Here is an 18,617-nt window from a genome sequence, read left to right on the forward strand (position 1 = left end):
TTTGGGAGGCAGAGGTGTGTGGATCACTTTAGCTCAGGAGTTTGAGACCAGCCTGGGCAACATGGTGAAACCCTGTCTCTATCAAAAATACAAAAATTAGCCGGACACGAAGGCACACGCCTGTGGTCCCAGCTACTCTGGAGGCTGAGGTAGGAGGATTGCTTTAGCCTGGGAAGCCAAGGCTTCAGTGAGCTGTGATCACCCCAGTGCACTGAAGCCTGGGTGACAGAGTGAGACCTGGTCTCAAAATAAATAAATTTTTTTTTAAAAAAAGCAAAATAAAATATGATCTTTTAAAGTAAAAGCTATTGATGATATTCCTATCTAATCACCTTCCATCAATCTGTAATAATGCCTTACTGAATCCAAAGTCTCCTTTTTAATTGACTAATGGAACATTTCTAGACTGATCCATTGGAGTATAGATGCCATCAAGTAATCCATTTATAATCTGGAGCCATTTTTGTTTAAAGCTGTCCAAGTGCTTCTTGGATACTTATCAATCTATTCCAGAAAGATTCTCTATTAACAAAGTTCTACAATATGCATTCCCCTACCTGCCCAAGTATTGAACAAAAAAATAATGGTTTGTAGGTATTATAATAGACAATGGCCAAAATTTACCATTATGTTTATAATTATTTACACAAATTTATTTAAGTTCAATGATACATTCTCCGGAGCTAGGTTTTTCAATTCAGAAAGTCAATGGGTTTTCAGAACCAAAAAGAAAAGAAAAGAAAAGAAAAGTCAAGCATTAGAATAACAAACTCATGATAATTGTCATTCCTGTTCTGAGGACTCAGTTTGTTTGAAAAGATTTAACTACCAAAAAGAAAAATAGTATTCAATGAATGTGAGGATGTGGAATCATTCATATATTTCCTTGAAATAGATTCTTAATAATAGTTAAAAAGACAACACTACACTGTAAGATGAAGCTACTTCAATGTAATTATTCAGTCATCAAAGACTACGAACATATAAATATGAATTTTGTCAACAGAATTATGTAATGTCTTCCATAAAGTGGCCATTTACTTCGAGGCCTCTGGTCATCATATCATTTTAACATTCTTAAGATTTTCAGTATTTTATGACTATGATTTGGAAAGGTGAGGGGAGGTCTGCAGAAAATATTTTACTTCATGGATATGCTTGTGTGTATGATCTTAATTATTCACCAAAGTTTCTACGTTTCATCTTTATTTCCCTGATAGTATCATTCTAAAATGAAGAAATGGAGGCTGGGTGCGGTGGCTCAAGCCTGTAATCCCAGCACTTTGGGAGGCCGAGGCGGGCGGATCACGAGGTCAGGAGATTGAGACCATCCTGGCTAACACGGCGAAACCCCGTCTCTACTAAAAATACAAAAAAATAAGCCGGCGTCGTGGCGAGCGCCTGTAGTCCCAGCTACTCGGGAGGCTGAGGCAGGAGAATGGCGTGAACCCGGGAGGCGGAGCTTGCAGTGAATTGAGATAGCACCACTGCACTCCAAAGGGAAAGATGTAAAAATATGTTTTCTTCTTAAATCTTGTACCATCCTCAGCAAATACTGTTGAGAACTTCACCCCTGGTTATTAAGAGAAACAAAAGTAATTTACAACACATATTTGGCACATAGACGTCCAAAGGAGACACCTCCTATCCTTAAGTGCAATATATTCTTAGAAAGAAAGACATCTTTCTGAGGAAAAAGAATAGGCAAGGGTGGAATTTCAAGTTTCAGCTTTATGATATAAATAGCTTTGCTTATATTGAAGAAGAAAGAAGAACAAGGCACCTTCAACAGCCCTTACACATTTCTGGGAGGTGGTAGCAAGTGCCATGCCCTACACTGCCCAGCATTCATAATAACTTACAACAATACAATCATAGCTTTTGCCCCAAATAATTTCTTCTGCCAATCATACATGATAAATTGTATTATGAGATTATTAGCACATAGTTAAATGTATTTAAATTGCCATTTGTACAGCTGATGGAGATTTCTGTAAATGTAGACTAGCATCAGAGCCTACACAACATGGAAAATAGCATGCATAGCATAAATCAGGCAAAATATTTGAGATCATGTATGCTTAATATGTGATACATCTGAACATTTTTCATTAGCATTTTGGCATTTTCTTTCTCCATCCTAGCTCTAGGTTGTGTTGCTAATGGACAATGTAGAGGGTATAAAGTATCCAACTTCCTTCTTCTTTTCCTTGGTTGGAGCTGAGCAATCCGTTGGCACATTCAGTGAGGCAGGAGTGGTTGGCAGGGTTAGGGCTGATGAAGAAGCCTGTGAAATCAAAATATTGACTACTTAGGGGTGTTGAACAAATAAATGAATAAATCGATGATAATGGCAAGCAGGTTTCTCACCTTTGGAGAAGAAATTACAAATATAGAAAGATGAATGCTGCAATTAAACCTGCAGTACTGAATTGGAATTGGAAGTGTCAGTGTAGAATCATGGTTTTTAAATATACATAAACAGAAATAGATAGAGCTGTAGGTGTGCATGAGTGGGTGTGTGTATACATGCACATCTTTTCTGGCTCTATCTGCAAAAAGGGCCTAGATGCAATGACACCCTGATAGAAATAAATATCCAGGGTACTCAGGTGTTGATTTCAAAGTAGCATTCGCTACTAAGGGAAAACCAAAGGTCCTCGGTAAGTGACTGAATCAAGGACTAGGGCAGGGAAACAACAAAATAAGCCTGGAACATCTTGTGCCAGAAAGTAAAAGCACGTTCAAAGAATTGTGAGGACAAGTCAAAAGGACAAAAAAGCCAGCTTGAAAGGGCTTTTATTAGCAAAGCCTGGGACAACTTGATCATCAAGTATTGTAATTACAATATTGGAGTGTAACTCATTGAGTAAAAGAAGATTCTGAGCCAATACTGGTATATATGGTAGGCAGATAGATAAGATAAATGATATATGGATGGATGAATGGATGAATAGATGGATAGGTAGATAGATGGACAGATAGCTCTACCTTATAGTAGAATGATATACATGTAAAAGGAATGATAGATTATACAAAATCACAATTTACCACCCATTATAGAAATAATTTATGTAGGCAAGAGTCATCAAAGGATGGTAAAACTAGTGGGTGAAAGCTCGAGAAAGAAGATATTTATAGTCTCAAACTATTCCCCACAAATTACTTATTTATTACTTAATATGTACAAAACATATATTAAATATTCTAAACCTAGAAAATACCATCTAAACAAAGTGATAAGACTTAAACAGCACCAAGAATGAGACAATGGACATTACATACCTGCAGAAATGATGTACTAAGAACACAACATCAATTCATGGTACTTCCTCATACAATGTATAAATCACAAGAAAACATGAGATGAAACTAAATTCTGGAACATTCTGCAAAATAATTGACCTATATTCTCTAAGAATACCAAGGTAATAAAGACAAGGAAAGTCTGAGGTGCCGGGCGCGGTCGCTCATGCCTGTAATCCCAGCACTTTGGGAGGCCGAGGTGGGTGGATCACAAGGTCAGGAGATCAAGACTATCCTGGCTAACATGGTGAAACCCCATCTCTACTAAAAATACAAAAAAATTAGCCAGGCGTGGTGGCGGGCACCTGTAGTCCCAGCTACTTGGGAGGCTGAGACAGGAGAATGGCGTGAACCCGGGAGGCGAGCTTGCAGTGAGCCGAGATCGTGCCACTGCACTCCAGCCTGGGCGACAGAGTGAGACTCCGTCTCAAAAAAAAAAAAAAAAAAAAGACTGAGGATCTTTTCCATATTGAAGAAAACTGAAGAAACATAACAACTCCTGGACTTCATAAACAATGTTATTATAATTGGCAAAATTTGAATGGGGTCTATGGATTAGATAGCAATATTTTATCATTGTAAATTCCCTAATTTTAAAGATTTGATTGTGATTACATAGGAGAGTGTCCTTGTTTTTAGGAAATACACATTGAAAGTAATAAGATATCATGTCTGAAACTTACTCTCCAATGCTTCAGAAAAGTGTATAGTAATATGCACATATTATGTATATTGCGTGTTGTTTGTGTGTATAGAGAGAAAGAGAGACAGAGAGAATGGTAAAATAAATGCACTAAAAGAATATTTGGGAACTTGATTGAGGAGTACTATCAAGATTGAGAGATCTTTGTATTGCTTCTGCATCTTTTCTATAAATTTAAAATCATTTCAAAATAAAAAGAAAAAAGCTTAATTTTCAGTACCCCTCAATAAAAAGCAGGAAGCCCTCTTTTTTAAAGCGACAAATATGTGTGTGTACACATACACACACAAATACAAGAAGCAATGACCCAGAGTCTACAAAAAATAATTCAAGGTTATATTAAACTATCAAAATATAACAAGGAAAAATGGTTGTCTATTTCACCCAGTTCTGTCTCCTAGAAGATAAATCTCAAAGTTTGGGTTCCAAATTTATGTCCACTTTTCTCTGTTTCAATTTATTGATTTCCAGTTTCTCAGAGAATTATTTTGGCAGATTGTACCCTTTCTAATATTTCTCAGTGAGACCACCTTCCAAATAATTCTGTCTAAAGTTTTATAAATGTTCTCAATATAACCACATATCATATCTCTTCCATGTAGAAAAACAGAGAGATTTTTTAAATTCGTAGACAATACTTAGTATTTTAATTTGAGGAATTGTGCCTGAAAATTAACTTTTTCTCCCCCTAGTGTTTGGACATAAAGCATGGGGCTTGGATGGTAGGCAGGGAAGACAGGTATCATTAGAGGTGTTTCTTTCCAGGATAGGGGTTTTGTAATACAATAAATTTCATGTTTTCTGTGTGATTTTCTTTAATTCTAGATATTGACTTTCATGATTAAAGTTTAAGACTATCTTCTAGGTAGGATATCTTTTGAAAAGAAAATCTTGGTCTCAATATTAGAGTGATAAGCTATAATAAGCAATTCTCTGTGTTACATTCTTTTAAGTTTTAAAATTTTAAATCAATTAACAATTGAGTTTTAGGAAGTACATTAGTCAGGGTTCTCCAGAGGGACAGAACCAATAGGATATATATGTAAAGGGGAGTTTATTAGAGAGAATTGACTCAAACTATTATAAGGCGAAGTCCCATGACAGGCCATCTGCAAGCTAGGGAAACAGAGAAGCTAGTAGCCTGGCTCAGTCCAAGTCCAAAAGCCTCAAAACCGGGGAAGCCAACAGTGCGGCCCTTAGTCTGTGGCTGAAGGACTGAGAGCCCCTAGGTGGCCACTGGTCCAAGTCCCAGAGTCCAAAGGCTGAAAAACTTGGAGTCTGATGTCCAAGGGCAAGAGAGGAAGCAAGCCTCCCGCAGGCCATGGGAAGAGAGAGCTAGCCAGAGAAGACACAGCAAGCTGCTTATCCCCTTCTTCAGCCTGCTTTGTTCGTGCCATGATGGCAGCCAATTGGATGGTGTGCACTCAACGTTTAGGGTGGGTCTTCCTCTCCCGGTCCACGGACTCCATGTCAGTCTCCTCTGGCAACACCCTCACGGACACACCCAGAAACAATACTTCACCAGCCATCTAGGCACCCCTCAACCCAGTCAAGTTGACACCTAATATTAACTATCACAAAAGTTATAAACTTTTCCCCCAAAAGAAACTAAATGCTGTGTTTGCTACATTGGGATGATGAAAAAAATTGAGTTTTGGTAGAAATCCCAGAAGTGTTACAGAAGTCCCAGCTAGATTCAAAATGGTAATGATGAGATGATGACGATAGTAGTGGTAGTGATGGTGCTGATTGTGAGGATGATTATAAAGAAGAAGGAAGAGGGAATTAGAATGACTATGTTAATGATTATATGTACCAACATTTGAGAGCCTATTTAGGTCCTGTTTAAAGTGCCCTGCATACCCTTAGCATACTTAATCATTAAATAACTCCACGAGGTAAGTATTATCATTATGCACATTTTGGAAGTGAAAAAAAATGAGTTGCAGAGAGATCAGATAAATTGCCAAAGGTCACAGAATGAACAAAAGGTAGAACCAAGCTCCAAACCCAGGTCAATATGTCTCCCTCGCAGTAACATGTTGAATTGGGAGTTGTCCTTCTCCTTCCTGGCCCCTCTACCAACACACATCAACTATATTCCCTGAATTTTCACAGAACATAGAAGTTGGATGGAAAATAATTTTAATCCTGTCCACTGTTGTACTTCAGATATACAGACATGTATGCCTGACATCATATATAGGGGACTATGGAAGCAACGTTATAGATGGCAACCAAGAAGCCTGTGTGTTAGAGAAGAGAGAAATTCATAAGTGAGGGCAACCTCGGTAACTGCTTGAAGGGAGCAAGAGCAGTGGTTCATGATACAAAGCAGACATTACTAGAATCTACACTAACCTAGAGAAAGTGTTTCTATGTCCTGGGAAGTTGAAAACTACATTGCAAATCTGAAAGAAAAACAACCGAAGATTCCAGCAACTCTGCTGAGTGGCCCTCTCCCTGTCCCATTGCCACTGAACAGGGGATATAAGAGGGAGAAGGCACTACCCAGATCACAGTGGGGAAAGCAGTCACCTCAATCACGTTCAAGGTAGAGAAGGTCAACACAACTGCCTGGGCAGCCAGAGGGGACAACAAGAGCCAGCAGGCATCAGAGCAGTCCAGCACTCAGCCACCAAGAAGGACAAGCTGAGAAAGAGCTGCAGCCGAGGCAGGCAGGGGAGCAGCAAAGCTGGGGTGTACATTTCAAACTAGGACACCTTTCTTAGAAACCTGAACTGAGACCCCAAAAAAACAGAAGGACTGAGTTTCTCTGTTTAAGAGCGAGAGCTCGTCAGTTCTGAAACCTAGAAGTAAAAGCCTGAAAGTGGCCTATTCTCAGGTCTACACAGTCTAGGCACCCAAGCATGCTTGGGTTAACACTAATTTAATGACAGGCTACTCTATTTTTAATAAATATCTAGATTTGCTTTCTTGTATTGAGTCCTTAAGATGCCTACTTTTGCTTTGTAAGTTTCTGTTATAAAAGATGAGCCAGGAAAACGTAAACTATGATTCTGTGTATTTTCCTAACAAACCATTCAACCATCCAAATGTGAAAACTGATGATTTGCTATCTTTCAAACTGCTCTTCCCACACGGTGGTAAAAGCTTGTTTAGACATTCAAAGGGATCTGGTGCACTACCATGACTTCATTCATTCACTCATTCAGCAAATACTTGTTGAGCGCTTACTCTGTGCCAAGTACTTGATATGCACAAAGCAAAGATTCCCCACCCTCATGAAGTTTGTAGTGTGGTGAGAGAGATCACTTACATAATGCATAATTAATAGGTTAATTATTGGGGATGTTAGAAGACACAAGTGCTATGGAGAAAAGAAAAAGTCAAGCAGAGTAAAAGAAATCAGAAATGGCAGACAAGGGTTGAAGTATCAAGGTTGAAGTATTAAGTGGTATGAATAGTTTTAACATTTCGTAATGGAAACAGTCAGAAATGTTTAATGTGACCCATTCCCAGGCTGTCTCCAAATGCACCACCACCAACTCATTATAAAGTTGTCCAGATAAGAACTTCAAATTGGAATTATTTAACTTGGATAATTCTGGTTATTAAATGTAACTATTTAACATTGTATAGGATGACATAATTGAGTGATACTTCATAGAGTTGTATAGCTTTCGAAGTGAAAAAGGTCTAATTAGAAAACTAATGACTTCTCATCTCATGGGTAAGAAAATTAGACCCTGAGAATTTAGGTGATTTGACCAAAATCACTGAGTCAGTAAATAGCATAAAAAGAACTAAAATGTAGTTTTATCAAAAAAGTATTTTCTGTAAACACAAATTTCAATTTTTTTGTAATGAGTTTACTTCTCTATTTCCTGTTTACTTTTTATTCCTAATGCCCACACAATTAGGGAATTTCATTCCCAATTCATCCTGTTTCTGCCTGCCCTGCTTATTTAGTTTGTGTGTGTGTGTGTGTGTGTGTGTATGTGTGTGTCCTTTAAGGTGTTTCTTTATGCAGATACAAGAAAATATGAATATATTATTTAATCACTTGTTAATACAAAAATAACATGTAGATATTGCTCTATACTTTCATTTACTTGTCTTTTAAAAGAGATTCCTTACCTATTTCCTTAAATTCTGCAGTTCCTATCTTGCAGTGAAGGATATAATACTAGCAATGATCTTTTCTTAGTAGAGATTGAGACTATGGAACAGAGTTCTTTAATCAAGGTGCAGATAACAGAAAGCCTGACTTACAGAGATCCAAACAAATAGGCATTTTATTCTTCTCTTACAACAGAATCCCTGAAGTCAGTGGTTACTGGCATTGAGTCAGCAGTTCAGGAATGAATCAGGGACCTGGATCTTGTTTTCTCATCCTACCATTCTTGAAAGTTGGCTTTTACCTTCTTGCTTGCAATTGTAAAAGCCTATTGTACCTTTAGGCATTATCTACATGGATGGAGAGAGGTGATGAAGAGGCCCCCTCCTCAATCAAGTTTGCATTATTGTTCAGGAAAGAAACCCCTCCCTGCTAGCCCTCCCATTACACTTCACTGGCAAGAGCTGAGTCACATGCCCACTCTTAGATCAATCACAGGCCAAGAGGAATACAATTATCTTAGCCGTATAAACCAATCAGATATATAGGGATGCCAATTTTTTGTAATGGTTGCATAGTATTCCATTGTACAGAAATAAGTGGTTCTCTATTGATGGACTTTAGATTGCTTTCAATCTTACACTATTGCAAGCTATGCTGCAATGACTATTTCTGGAATTATGCTATTTTGCACAATTGCTACTTTATTTGAAAAAAAAATCTAGAAGTACAAATTATTTTAACCAATTTTAAATGGAAACAATGTTCCAAAATACGTAGTGCACAATGAAACATGATGACATGTTTATGAACATTATTTTTAGGTTGATTGATCTGATTTAATGATGTTTCATTCATTGATTCAACAATTATTTTTAGATTCACTACTGTAGAGAGAGCTCTGTATAATTTCAAGGAATACAACCATAATCTTTGCTTTCAAAGGACATAAAAGTTTGAGAATTTAGCAGGCTGAAGTTAATTAATTTAAAACTTTTTCTAATTTAATGTGTGTTTTACTATTGATAATGTTCAAATGGAGGCAATTAATCGACCTTTTTCTCCCTAAGGTGTATATAATCATTTTTCCAATAGGGAAAAGCAATCCTTCAAAATTTTAGACACTTTACTAAAATAACTTATCAGCCTTAGGGTTGCTATTAATATATTAATTTTGTCATTGTTATGGTGACTTCAAATAAGTCTAGTTTGCAGTTTGACACACTGATTCCTCTGGGGTTTTTTCTACACTTTAAGGTTTCACTGTGCTTCCTTGGATATAAGTTTTGTAAAACAGTTCCTGAAGGAGAGGGAACAATAGCCCAACTCTTAAAGAACAAAATATTATTTTCAAGATTTTTTTGCCACATATTTTTCAGGAAAGAATTCAGAAGTAAAGGCATTCGTTAAAATTTTTTCAAACCTAAGTGTAGGACACTAAAGACACCCATTCTACGAAATTGACACTTACAGAGCTGACAAATTGCATAAAGGGTCTTTGTGGATATTGATACTAGTTATGCAGACAAAAGAGGCTCTCCACCAAGAATTTATCAAGGGAGTCTACAGAAAAACTAATTGCCCAAATCTCAGAATATTCCTAGCTAGTGTTGTTAAGGAATAAATAATAACAAACAATTAAGACACCAAGTATAAGGAAACAAATATCTTAAGGTTACAAAAGCAATTCATCTAAATTGAGGACCTCCATGAAGAGGGTTTGAGTCAGATCTAGAGCTGTAGTCCAGATTTGAAGTGAATTGCTAGTTTTTGTAGAGCCAGGGAAAGCCCTGGCTTCAGAACGGTGTTGTGATTGGGAGCATAGTGATGGCTGAGGATAGGATGCTGTGGATCATATCCTCAGCATTTGATAGTGGAAGCATCCCATGAGTCAATGATTTACCTTCTGAGTCTCAGTTTCTTCAGCTATTTGACAAAGATAATATGCCTACTTTTATTCAAGACCTGAACAAAAAGAATCTAATGTAACTACTAGACAATCTGCAATGTGTTGAAACTTGCATATGAGTATGCTGTTTGGTTTTTGCTGGGCACCTTGGTTAGCATATCACTAAAGACTTTCCCAGGCCTGACCTGAGCCTTCTTTTCCAGCACCACCTGTCTTTACACCTTACCTCATAAATTTCACTTTCAGGAAAAAAAAAAAAACTCCCCATAATGCCACATCGTAGTTCCCCATGCTGTTTCACATCTCTGTTCCTCTTGCCTGGAATACTTGCTCTGTTTTCCTCATGACTAGCTCAAGGGTAACATCCACCAGTGGTGTTTTGCTCACCACTTGCTTTCTCACAGGGACAAGTCATGCATGTGCATGTGTACCCATGTGTGTTGGGAATGGGAAGAGGAAAGATGGCAGGAAATGGGCAATGAGGCTTGTTGTGGTTTGAGTTTGTTCCCCACAAAGTTCATGTGTTAGAGACTTAGTGGCCATTATAACACTATTAAGAGGTGAAGCCTTTAAGAGGTGATTAGGCCAAGAGGGCTACATCCTCATGAATGGAGTAATGCTGTTATCTTGGGAGCTGGTTAGTTATTGAGGGAGTGGGTTCTTGATAAAAGGGTAAGTTTGGCCCCACTTCCTTCTGTCCCACATGCTTGCTTGCTCTCTGCCATGGGATAATGTGGCATGAAGGCCCTCACCAGAAGCCAGCACCATGCTCTTGGACTTCCCAGCCTCCAGTACCATGAGCCAAATAAAGTTTCATTTGTATAAATTACCTAATCTGTGGTATTCTGTTATAGCAGCAGTAAACAGAGACAAGTAAAACAAGGCTGAAGAGGTCTTTCAAGACCAGATTGAGAAGGGCTTTACATGTTACAGTAAGGAGTTTTACCTAATATTATGGGCAAAATCTTAGGGAGGTTACAGAGTATTTTAGTAATGAGAGGATCAGATATTTTTTATTTAGGAAATGATCTGACTGCAGTGAGGAGGATTGACTGGAGAGAAAGAAAATGTCACAAATCCAAATAGGGCTTGCCAGACAAAGAAAAATTTCACTATACATTGTCTTCTCCTCTCCTTTGGAGTTTCCAGAAGTTAGTGGGTTTGTGCATGGGTCCAGTGAGGGTGGTATTTCACGGGAATCCTGGAGACTTATAAAGCATCATGAAGTGAGTGTTGGGGTCCCTGAGGCATGAGTCTAATTGTGGCAGCCCAGCCTCTCCCCAAGGTCTGCTCTCAGCCACTCTCTCTTTACAACAGAAGATAGAGGACAACATTAATATATTCTAATAATAAAAAATAGAGGGAAAGCCATATAAATAGGGGAAGACAGCAAATGAAGAAGGAGCATGCTTAGAAGGGCAGTTACCACCTGGGCGCTGTAGCTCACACCTGCAGTCCCAGCACTTTGAGAGGCCAAGGCGGGTGGATCATGAGGTCAAGAGATAGAGACCATCCTGGCCTGGCCAACATGGTGAAACTCAGTCTCTACTAAAAATACAAAAATTAGATGGGTGTGGTGGCACGTGGCTGTAGTCCCAGCTACTCAGGAGGCTGAGGCAGGAGTATCTCTTGAACCTGGGAGGTGGAGGTTGCAGTGAGCCAAGATCGTGCCACTGTACTCCAGCCTGGCAACAGAGTGAAACTCTGTCTCAAAAAAAAAAAAAAAAAAGAAGAAAAAAAAAAGGACAGTTACCATTTTTGTTCATCACCTCTCTGCCAGTGGCTTTTCCTTTTACAGTAGTCCTCAACTCAAATTTTAGAATGCACTGGAATCATCTGGAGGGCTCATTAAACCATAGACTCAGTGATTCTGATTCTATAGGTTTAAAGTAGGGCCAATAATTTGCGTTTCTAACAAGGTCCCTTGATAGGCTGATGCTGCTGGCCCAGGAACCACACTTTCAGAAACAGTCTTATTTTCTCTCTTGAACACCTCAATAACATAGCAGGGTAGTATTAACAGAAGAAGAAACACTTATTGAAGAATTAAGTGGCCAGGCGCGGTGGCTCACGCCTGTAATCCCAGCACTTTGGGAGGCCGAGGTGGATGGATCACGAGGTCAGGAGATCGAGACCATCCTGGCTAACACGGTGAAACCCCGTCTCTACTAAAAATACAAAAAATTAGCCAGGCGTGGTTGTGGGCACCTGTAGTCCCAGCTACTGGGGAGGCTGAGGCAGGAGAATGGCGTGAACCCAGGAGGCGGAGCTTGCAGTGACCCGAGATCGTGCCACTGCACTCCAGCCCAGGCGACAGAGCGAGATTCCATCTCAAAAAAAGAAAAGAAAAGAAAAAAAAAGATTTAAGTAACCTGCCCTCTGCCCTAGGTCAACTAGTAAGTAGGAAACAAAACTTGGAAGTCAGATTCTGTTGGGCTTGAAGTCCACACTTTTTTACCTCACACTCCTCTTTCCTCCACAGATGTCTTGAGACAGAGGACAGGGCAGAGGAAGCTCCCAGCTATTTCCTTTCCATCAGGGTCCAAAGTACCCACAGCACAGAAATATGAGGGTGGAGTTTAAAGGAAAATCTTGTACCTCTGAGCATTTCTTTTTCTCCAGAAACCATTTCAACTCCTTGAGTTCCTCACTGTGGCCCAGAAGGTGATATCCAGATACTTGCATGTGCTCAGATAATATCTCCTCTGAGGGAGGCACAAAATGAGCATCCCACTTTTCTACATGCAAGATAATGCCTGGAAGCGTGTGATCTGTCCACATGCATCTTGCCTTGTATGCCTTTTCAAGCGAGTTCCAGCCTCCCTCATGCTTACATCACTTACCCCCAGCACTTCCAAGTGATTTTATAAGGAATCGCCCCACTGTGCTCCCTGCAGGCCTTTCCCCATTTTTCATAAATATTTCTACATGCTATAGATGTCCCATCAAACCCTGTTTCCAACTTTGAATGATTTGTTTGAATGCCTTCACTTGCTTTTGTCCACTTCGGGCTAGAACAAAAAGAAAACAACAAAACCAAAAAATTAAAAAACAAAAACAAAATCACCCTGGAAAAGCATTTACTTTGAATATACCTGTGCTTTGAAATTAATTGTTTTATCTATAGGTAATAAGTATGTAAAAAGCCAAGATGCTGCTTTTGACCAAAGGAATCATTTAAACCCAACGTTTCATTTTTACTCCTTTCTGAAAGGTAATATTCAACTTACAAAGAGGGCAAGGTTTGCATGAGGAGACTTTAAAGTCTTTCTATGTTATTTATACTGCGTATGTTCCCACATTGCAATCATCAAAAGAAGGCTAGTTCTCCCAAGATTTTTTTTTCTACATAAGATATTGTTGTTTTTCAGGGTTTTTTGTTTGTTTGTTTTTCTGAGTAAGGAGGTAGTAAACATCAATAAAAAATTTTGCCTAAAACAGACCTTCATAATCCTCCCAAATTTTCAAACTTACTTCACCAGTATAGTTTCTATGGACTTAGTAACTTAGTATTCACTGAGTTAGGCTTGTTATAATTTCATATTCCTTGACTTTAGGTGGCATTTTTGTCCATGTGGGGTTTAATTTATTTATTATTATTATTTATTTTTAGACAGGGTCTCACTGGGTCACCCAGGCTGGAGTACAGTGGTGAGATAGTTGTTCACTGCAGCCTCCACCTCCTAGACCCATGCAATCCTCCTGCCTCTGTCCCCCAAGTAGCTGGGACTACAGGCATAAGCCATCACCCATGGTGAATTTTTGTATTTTTTTAGAGATGAGGTTTCATCGTCTTGCCCTGGCTGTTCTCAGACTCCTGATATCTAGCGATCTGCCTGGCTCTGTGGGGTTTTAAAGCCATTACACTGTATACAGTTTAGGTGAGGTTAAAAAATAGATATAGGTGAGATTAGGTGAGGTTAAAAAAATATAAATCTAGATTTTAAAAATGTAATGCATTCTTCCTCTTCCTCTCACTTTTCTTCTTGTCTCCTTCCTTCTTTCCTTCTTACCCTTCCCACTTTCTCCTTGTCCCTTTCCCTGTCCTTTCAATCCCTTCCCTAACACTTCAGCCCAAAAGCTATTCGTCAGGGCCGAGCAAGACACAGTGGGGAGGAGGGCTGCTCAGTTTCACACGTTAAAACTCCAGTAAGATGAAGAGGGTTCTGTGCTAAGGTATGGTGGTGATGGGTGGCCCAGCATGTAAGGTTGCCAGATTTAGCAAATAAAAATACAGGAAGCCCTGTTAAATTTGAATTTCAGATAAACAGTGAGTAATTTTTAGTACAAGTATATCCCATGCAATATTTGAGACATACCTATATAAAATAATTACCGTTTATTTGAAATTCAAATTTAATTGGATGTCCTATATTTTATCTGCCAACTCTGTGTCTGAGCCCAGTGTGGATGGGAAGAGCATTCACATGGGGAAGGGGCAGAGGGGGCAGCAGGTTAGCATGGGGTGCCAGAGCCAAGCAAGATGCCAGGGACATCCCCAAAAGAGAAGGACAAAGGCCCAAGAGATTGTTTATGCGCCTGGGAATTGATCAAATAAGAAAATGTATTGAGGAAAATTTTGAAGATGGGAGTCACAAATTTGGAGTGGGAGAAAACTAGAATGAAACATGTTATGGGACTGATTGAGCTTAGAGATACCAGTGTGAACATATGGTTGATAACTTTAAAATGCCATATGTACATATTTGCTTTATATTCATAGAATGCCTCTAGTGCACAAAAGAGTTGCAGCAGTGTTTATCTCTAGGTAGTAGGAGTGAGTAGTGGCTGGGGCACAAGGTGGAAAAATTACTTTTCCTTATTTTCCTTTGCTACTTTTAAAATTTTTAATTTATATTTAATTTATTTTTTAAGTTTAAATTTTAAAATTTTTAATTTAAATTGTGCTGTGTACATTATCTGTACTAGAAAATGTATTTTTAAAATATTTATGCATTAAAAAATAAAACTGGCTTTATTTCAAATCAGAAACCTTAGAGATTTTCTAGACCAAATTCCTGTATCCTTGAGGTCACAGAACCAAATATAGTAGTGAGAAAGGGCTCTGGATTCAAATTCTGATGCTGTCACATGGCAGCACAGTGCCCTTGCCTCTCCGAATGTCGCTTTCTCCCACTATAGTACAGAGCACAAAGCAAGGGCTCTGAAGTCAGCCTGCTTGAGGATGAGTCCTGTTCAGCTTCACCTTGTCCCATTGCATGATCTTGGGCAAGTCAACTGGCCTCTTTAAACTGCAGACTTTGTTATGATTGCATTAGCTTTATTCCATCAAATCCAAGAAGCCCTGGGCTGTTTAAAATGCACAATTATTTTATGTTCTACTAACAACTTTTTTAAGTCCTAGAATTTATTGTAAGTTGTCAACCACTGTGAAATGCAGGCTGATTTCAGAGACATTAAAATGTGAAAAACATTCATCTTAGAATCAATGTAGTATGATCGCACTTACCAAAGGCAAAAAAATAACAGAAAAAGAGGTTCAATGGTAATTGAGAAGTAAGTGGACAGAAGTGAAGAATATCAGGCTAGCATCCAGTAAACATTACAGATGGGAGAAAAAGGGAAGTGAAGATACAATGGGAGGTAAATACTTCAATCTTTGCACAATTTAGATCAAGAAAATAAAAACATTTTGCAAGCACTTGTAAACAAACAAAAAATATAAACAAAATAGAATTGGGGTTACCTCCCAGGAAAGGCTGCACTGTTGTCAATAATGTGACCAAGGCGATGGCTCAAATCCCAGCACTTTGGGAGGCTGAGGCGGATCACTTGAGCCCAGGAGTTGAAGACCAGCCTGGGCGACATAGTGAAAGCCCATCTCTACCAAAAAAAAAAAAATTAGCCAGATGTGGTGGCGCACCCGTAGTCCCAGCTACTTCGGGGGCTGAGGCAGGAGGAACACTTGGGCCCAGGAGGTTGAGGCTGCAGTGAGCTGTGATCTCACCAAAGCACTCTAGCCTGGGCAACAGAGTGAGATTCTGTGTCTCTAATAATAATAATAGTGTGACCAAGAACGGAAACCCACTCCCTACCTTATAATGACATGTTACCAAGAGGCAGCAGATGTGTAGTTCTAAGTTGGGCACGGAAGCAGGCAGCATTGAGGACCAGCCAGTTGAGTTGGGGTATAGACTGCCTCTGGGCTTGCACCTGGGTGAAGTCAAAAGAGATAATAAAAAGGGGATTTGGGGAGGTCTGTAAAATATGTAACTTAAGGATGAATGCCTGAGAACTCTGGGGGAACTCTGGGCCTGCTTAATTCTCCTGTTGACCCTGGTGAGACACAGAAATTTTCAAAAAGAGCCAGACATGATGGTGCGTCTGTGTAGTCCCAGCTCCTGCGGAGGCTGAGGTGGGAGGATTGCTTGAGCCCCTGAGTTCCAGATCAGACTGGACAACATAGCAAGACCCCTTCATTTAAAAAAATGTTTTAGGCTGGGTGTGGTGGCTCACACCTGTAATCCCAGCACTTTCGGAGGCCGAGGCAGGCGGATCACGAGGTCAGGAGATTGAGACCATCCTGGCTAATGCGGTGGTTTAACATGATAAGACCATCCTGGCTAACCCCGTCTCTACTAAAAATACAAAAAATTAGCCAGGCTTGGTGGCATGCGCCTGTAATCATAGCTACTCGGGAGGCTGAGGCAGGAGAATTGCTTGAACCTGGGAGGTGGAGGTTGCAATGAGCCGAGATTGCACCACTGCACTCCAGCCTGGGTGACAGAGTGAGACTCCATCTCAAAAAAAAAAAAAAAAAGTTTTAATGTAAATAATAATAATAATTAATAATATGGCTCTGTACCTAGTTGGCCTTCACTATCCACCAACTAGTCAGCACTCTATACCGGAACTGAGTCCTGGAAGGAGGGAACCATGTATTGGTGGCAGACAGTGGCACTGTTCAGTATCACTGCTTGGGAAGAGGGGAGTCCTGATTTCCTCGGGAGGGTCAGGGAGGGTGGGGTTGGGGAGTGGAGTGTTGAAGAGGGAGTAGACACTTACCTCATAGAGGTGTTGTAGGAATTAATAACATCACCATGTCTGGTACATGGTAAGTGCTCAGTAATGCTAGCTATTGTTAAATGAAAAAAAAAAGCTTTTTATGCCATAAAATGCTATGCAAATATTTATATTGTGTAATTTTTTAAGCACCGTCAAGATTAGATCCTGATTCTTGAGACTTGCGATTCAGACCACTTTGCAACATGCCACACTGTGCTTATTTCATGTACTATTACTTTAAATTGAACTCTTTTTCAATAAACTGCATTATATATACTTGTTCATAAACAATATTTTTGTGCATGGGTGCTGTGTATCTTTCAGATATTTCCATAATATATACACACAATGTAACACAGAAATACAGATTTTTCTTTTAAAGAGCAAAGCTTCAGCAGTTTCTCTTGAATTTTATTCTGTCATTTGACTACATTATATTTCTGATGTTCAATTTGTACTGAGTACATTATGGACTTCTCTAGGGAACAGAAAGAATTCTTTTAAGTAAACATAAAATGCTTTGATAAATCAAAACATGCGAATGAGATTTCTGTTAAAAATGTTCCAATCTGTTTTGAGACTTGAAATAAAGCTGTCTTTAACATAATAAAACCTGTTAACCTAAAGGCAACAATAAAATAATAATAATAACTCATTTGTTATAGAAGTAATGCATAGGGCTTATTTTGAAAGGTTAGTTATATTAAATACAAAGGGAATCTTGCTATAAACCAGTTGTAAAGAAACTTAAAAGCTGTTAAGGTCTATGCTATCTGACTTAAGCTGACAATAAGTATAAGTTTTTGGAATTCATATGTAACCATTTATATCATAAACTAGCCATTATGTCTCTCATGTTGAAAAGTCAATCATATTCTAAATATTCTGGAATCTCACCTCAGTGCTAGCTCCATAAGAACAGGGACCTTGCCTTGCCCATCCACAGCTGTATTCCCAGCAACTAGAATAGTGTCTGCCATAATAGGGTTCAATAATCCTAAATGAATGAACAATATACATAGATTTTTGAAGATTTAAGAAATCTCGACACTCAAACTTTCAAATATAGGCCCAGAGCAGTGGCTCATGCTTGTAATCTCAGCACTGTGGGAAGCCCTGATGCATGGATCACTTGAGCCCAGGAGTTTGAACTACCTGGGCAACATGGTGAAACCCTGTCTCTACAAAAAAAAAAAAAATAGCTGGGTATGGTGGTACAAGCCTGTAGGCCCAGCTACTTGGGGGGCTGAGGCAAGAGAATCGCTTGAGCCCGGGAGGTCAAGACTGCAGTGAACCGTGTTTGTGCCACTGCACTCCAGCCTAGGTGACAAAATGAGACCCTATCTCGAAAAAAAAAAAAAATCCCAAAATAAAAAACAGGTAGTTGGGGAATGATAATTTAAAATACAAAATGGTCCTGTGAGCTTGCAAGTTTGATCTAGGTCAAAATGTAGTGGAACAGAGATCTGAAAATCTCAACTCAGCTGACTAACCAGCTGTGTTTAGTAAGCTATGAAGCTGTGCCATTTAACTTCTCTGAGTTTCCGTTTCTTCTTGCCCTCTAAAATGACTGGAGGTGAAAGGAGGGAAAG

The 18,617-nt window shown here is 39.1% G+C and overlaps 1 long non-coding RNA gene across 4 annotated transcripts in view; it reads right to left on the reverse strand.

Moving 5' to 3' along the window:
• Positions 1 to 1,711: 1,711 nt before the first annotated feature.
• Positions 1,712 to 18,617, reverse strand: part of LNCARSR (lncRNA regulator of Akt signaling associated with HCC and RCC) — a 50,080-nt gene continuing 33,174 nt past the window's right edge. For 2 of the 4 annotated variants that reach the window (NR_184112.1, NR_184110.1), the window contains exons 2-4: positions 16,056 to 16,173; positions 12,843 to 13,010; positions 1,712 to 2,287 (exon numbers count right to left, since the gene is read on the reverse strand). This is a non-coding gene — a long non-coding RNA (lncRNA regulator of Akt signaling associated with HCC and RCC). The remainder of the gene's footprint in view (positions 2,288 to 12,842; positions 13,011 to 16,055; positions 16,174 to 18,617) is intronic. The other 2 variants (NR_184113.1, NR_184111.1) reach the window with 1 other exon arrangement.

The sequence above is a fragment of the Homo sapiens genome, chromosome 9 (genome assembly GCF_000001405.40).
Source record: "Homo sapiens chromosome 9, GRCh38.p14 Primary Assembly".
Classification (NCBI taxonomy): domain Eukaryota; kingdom Metazoa; phylum Chordata; class Mammalia; order Primates; family Hominidae; genus Homo; species Homo sapiens.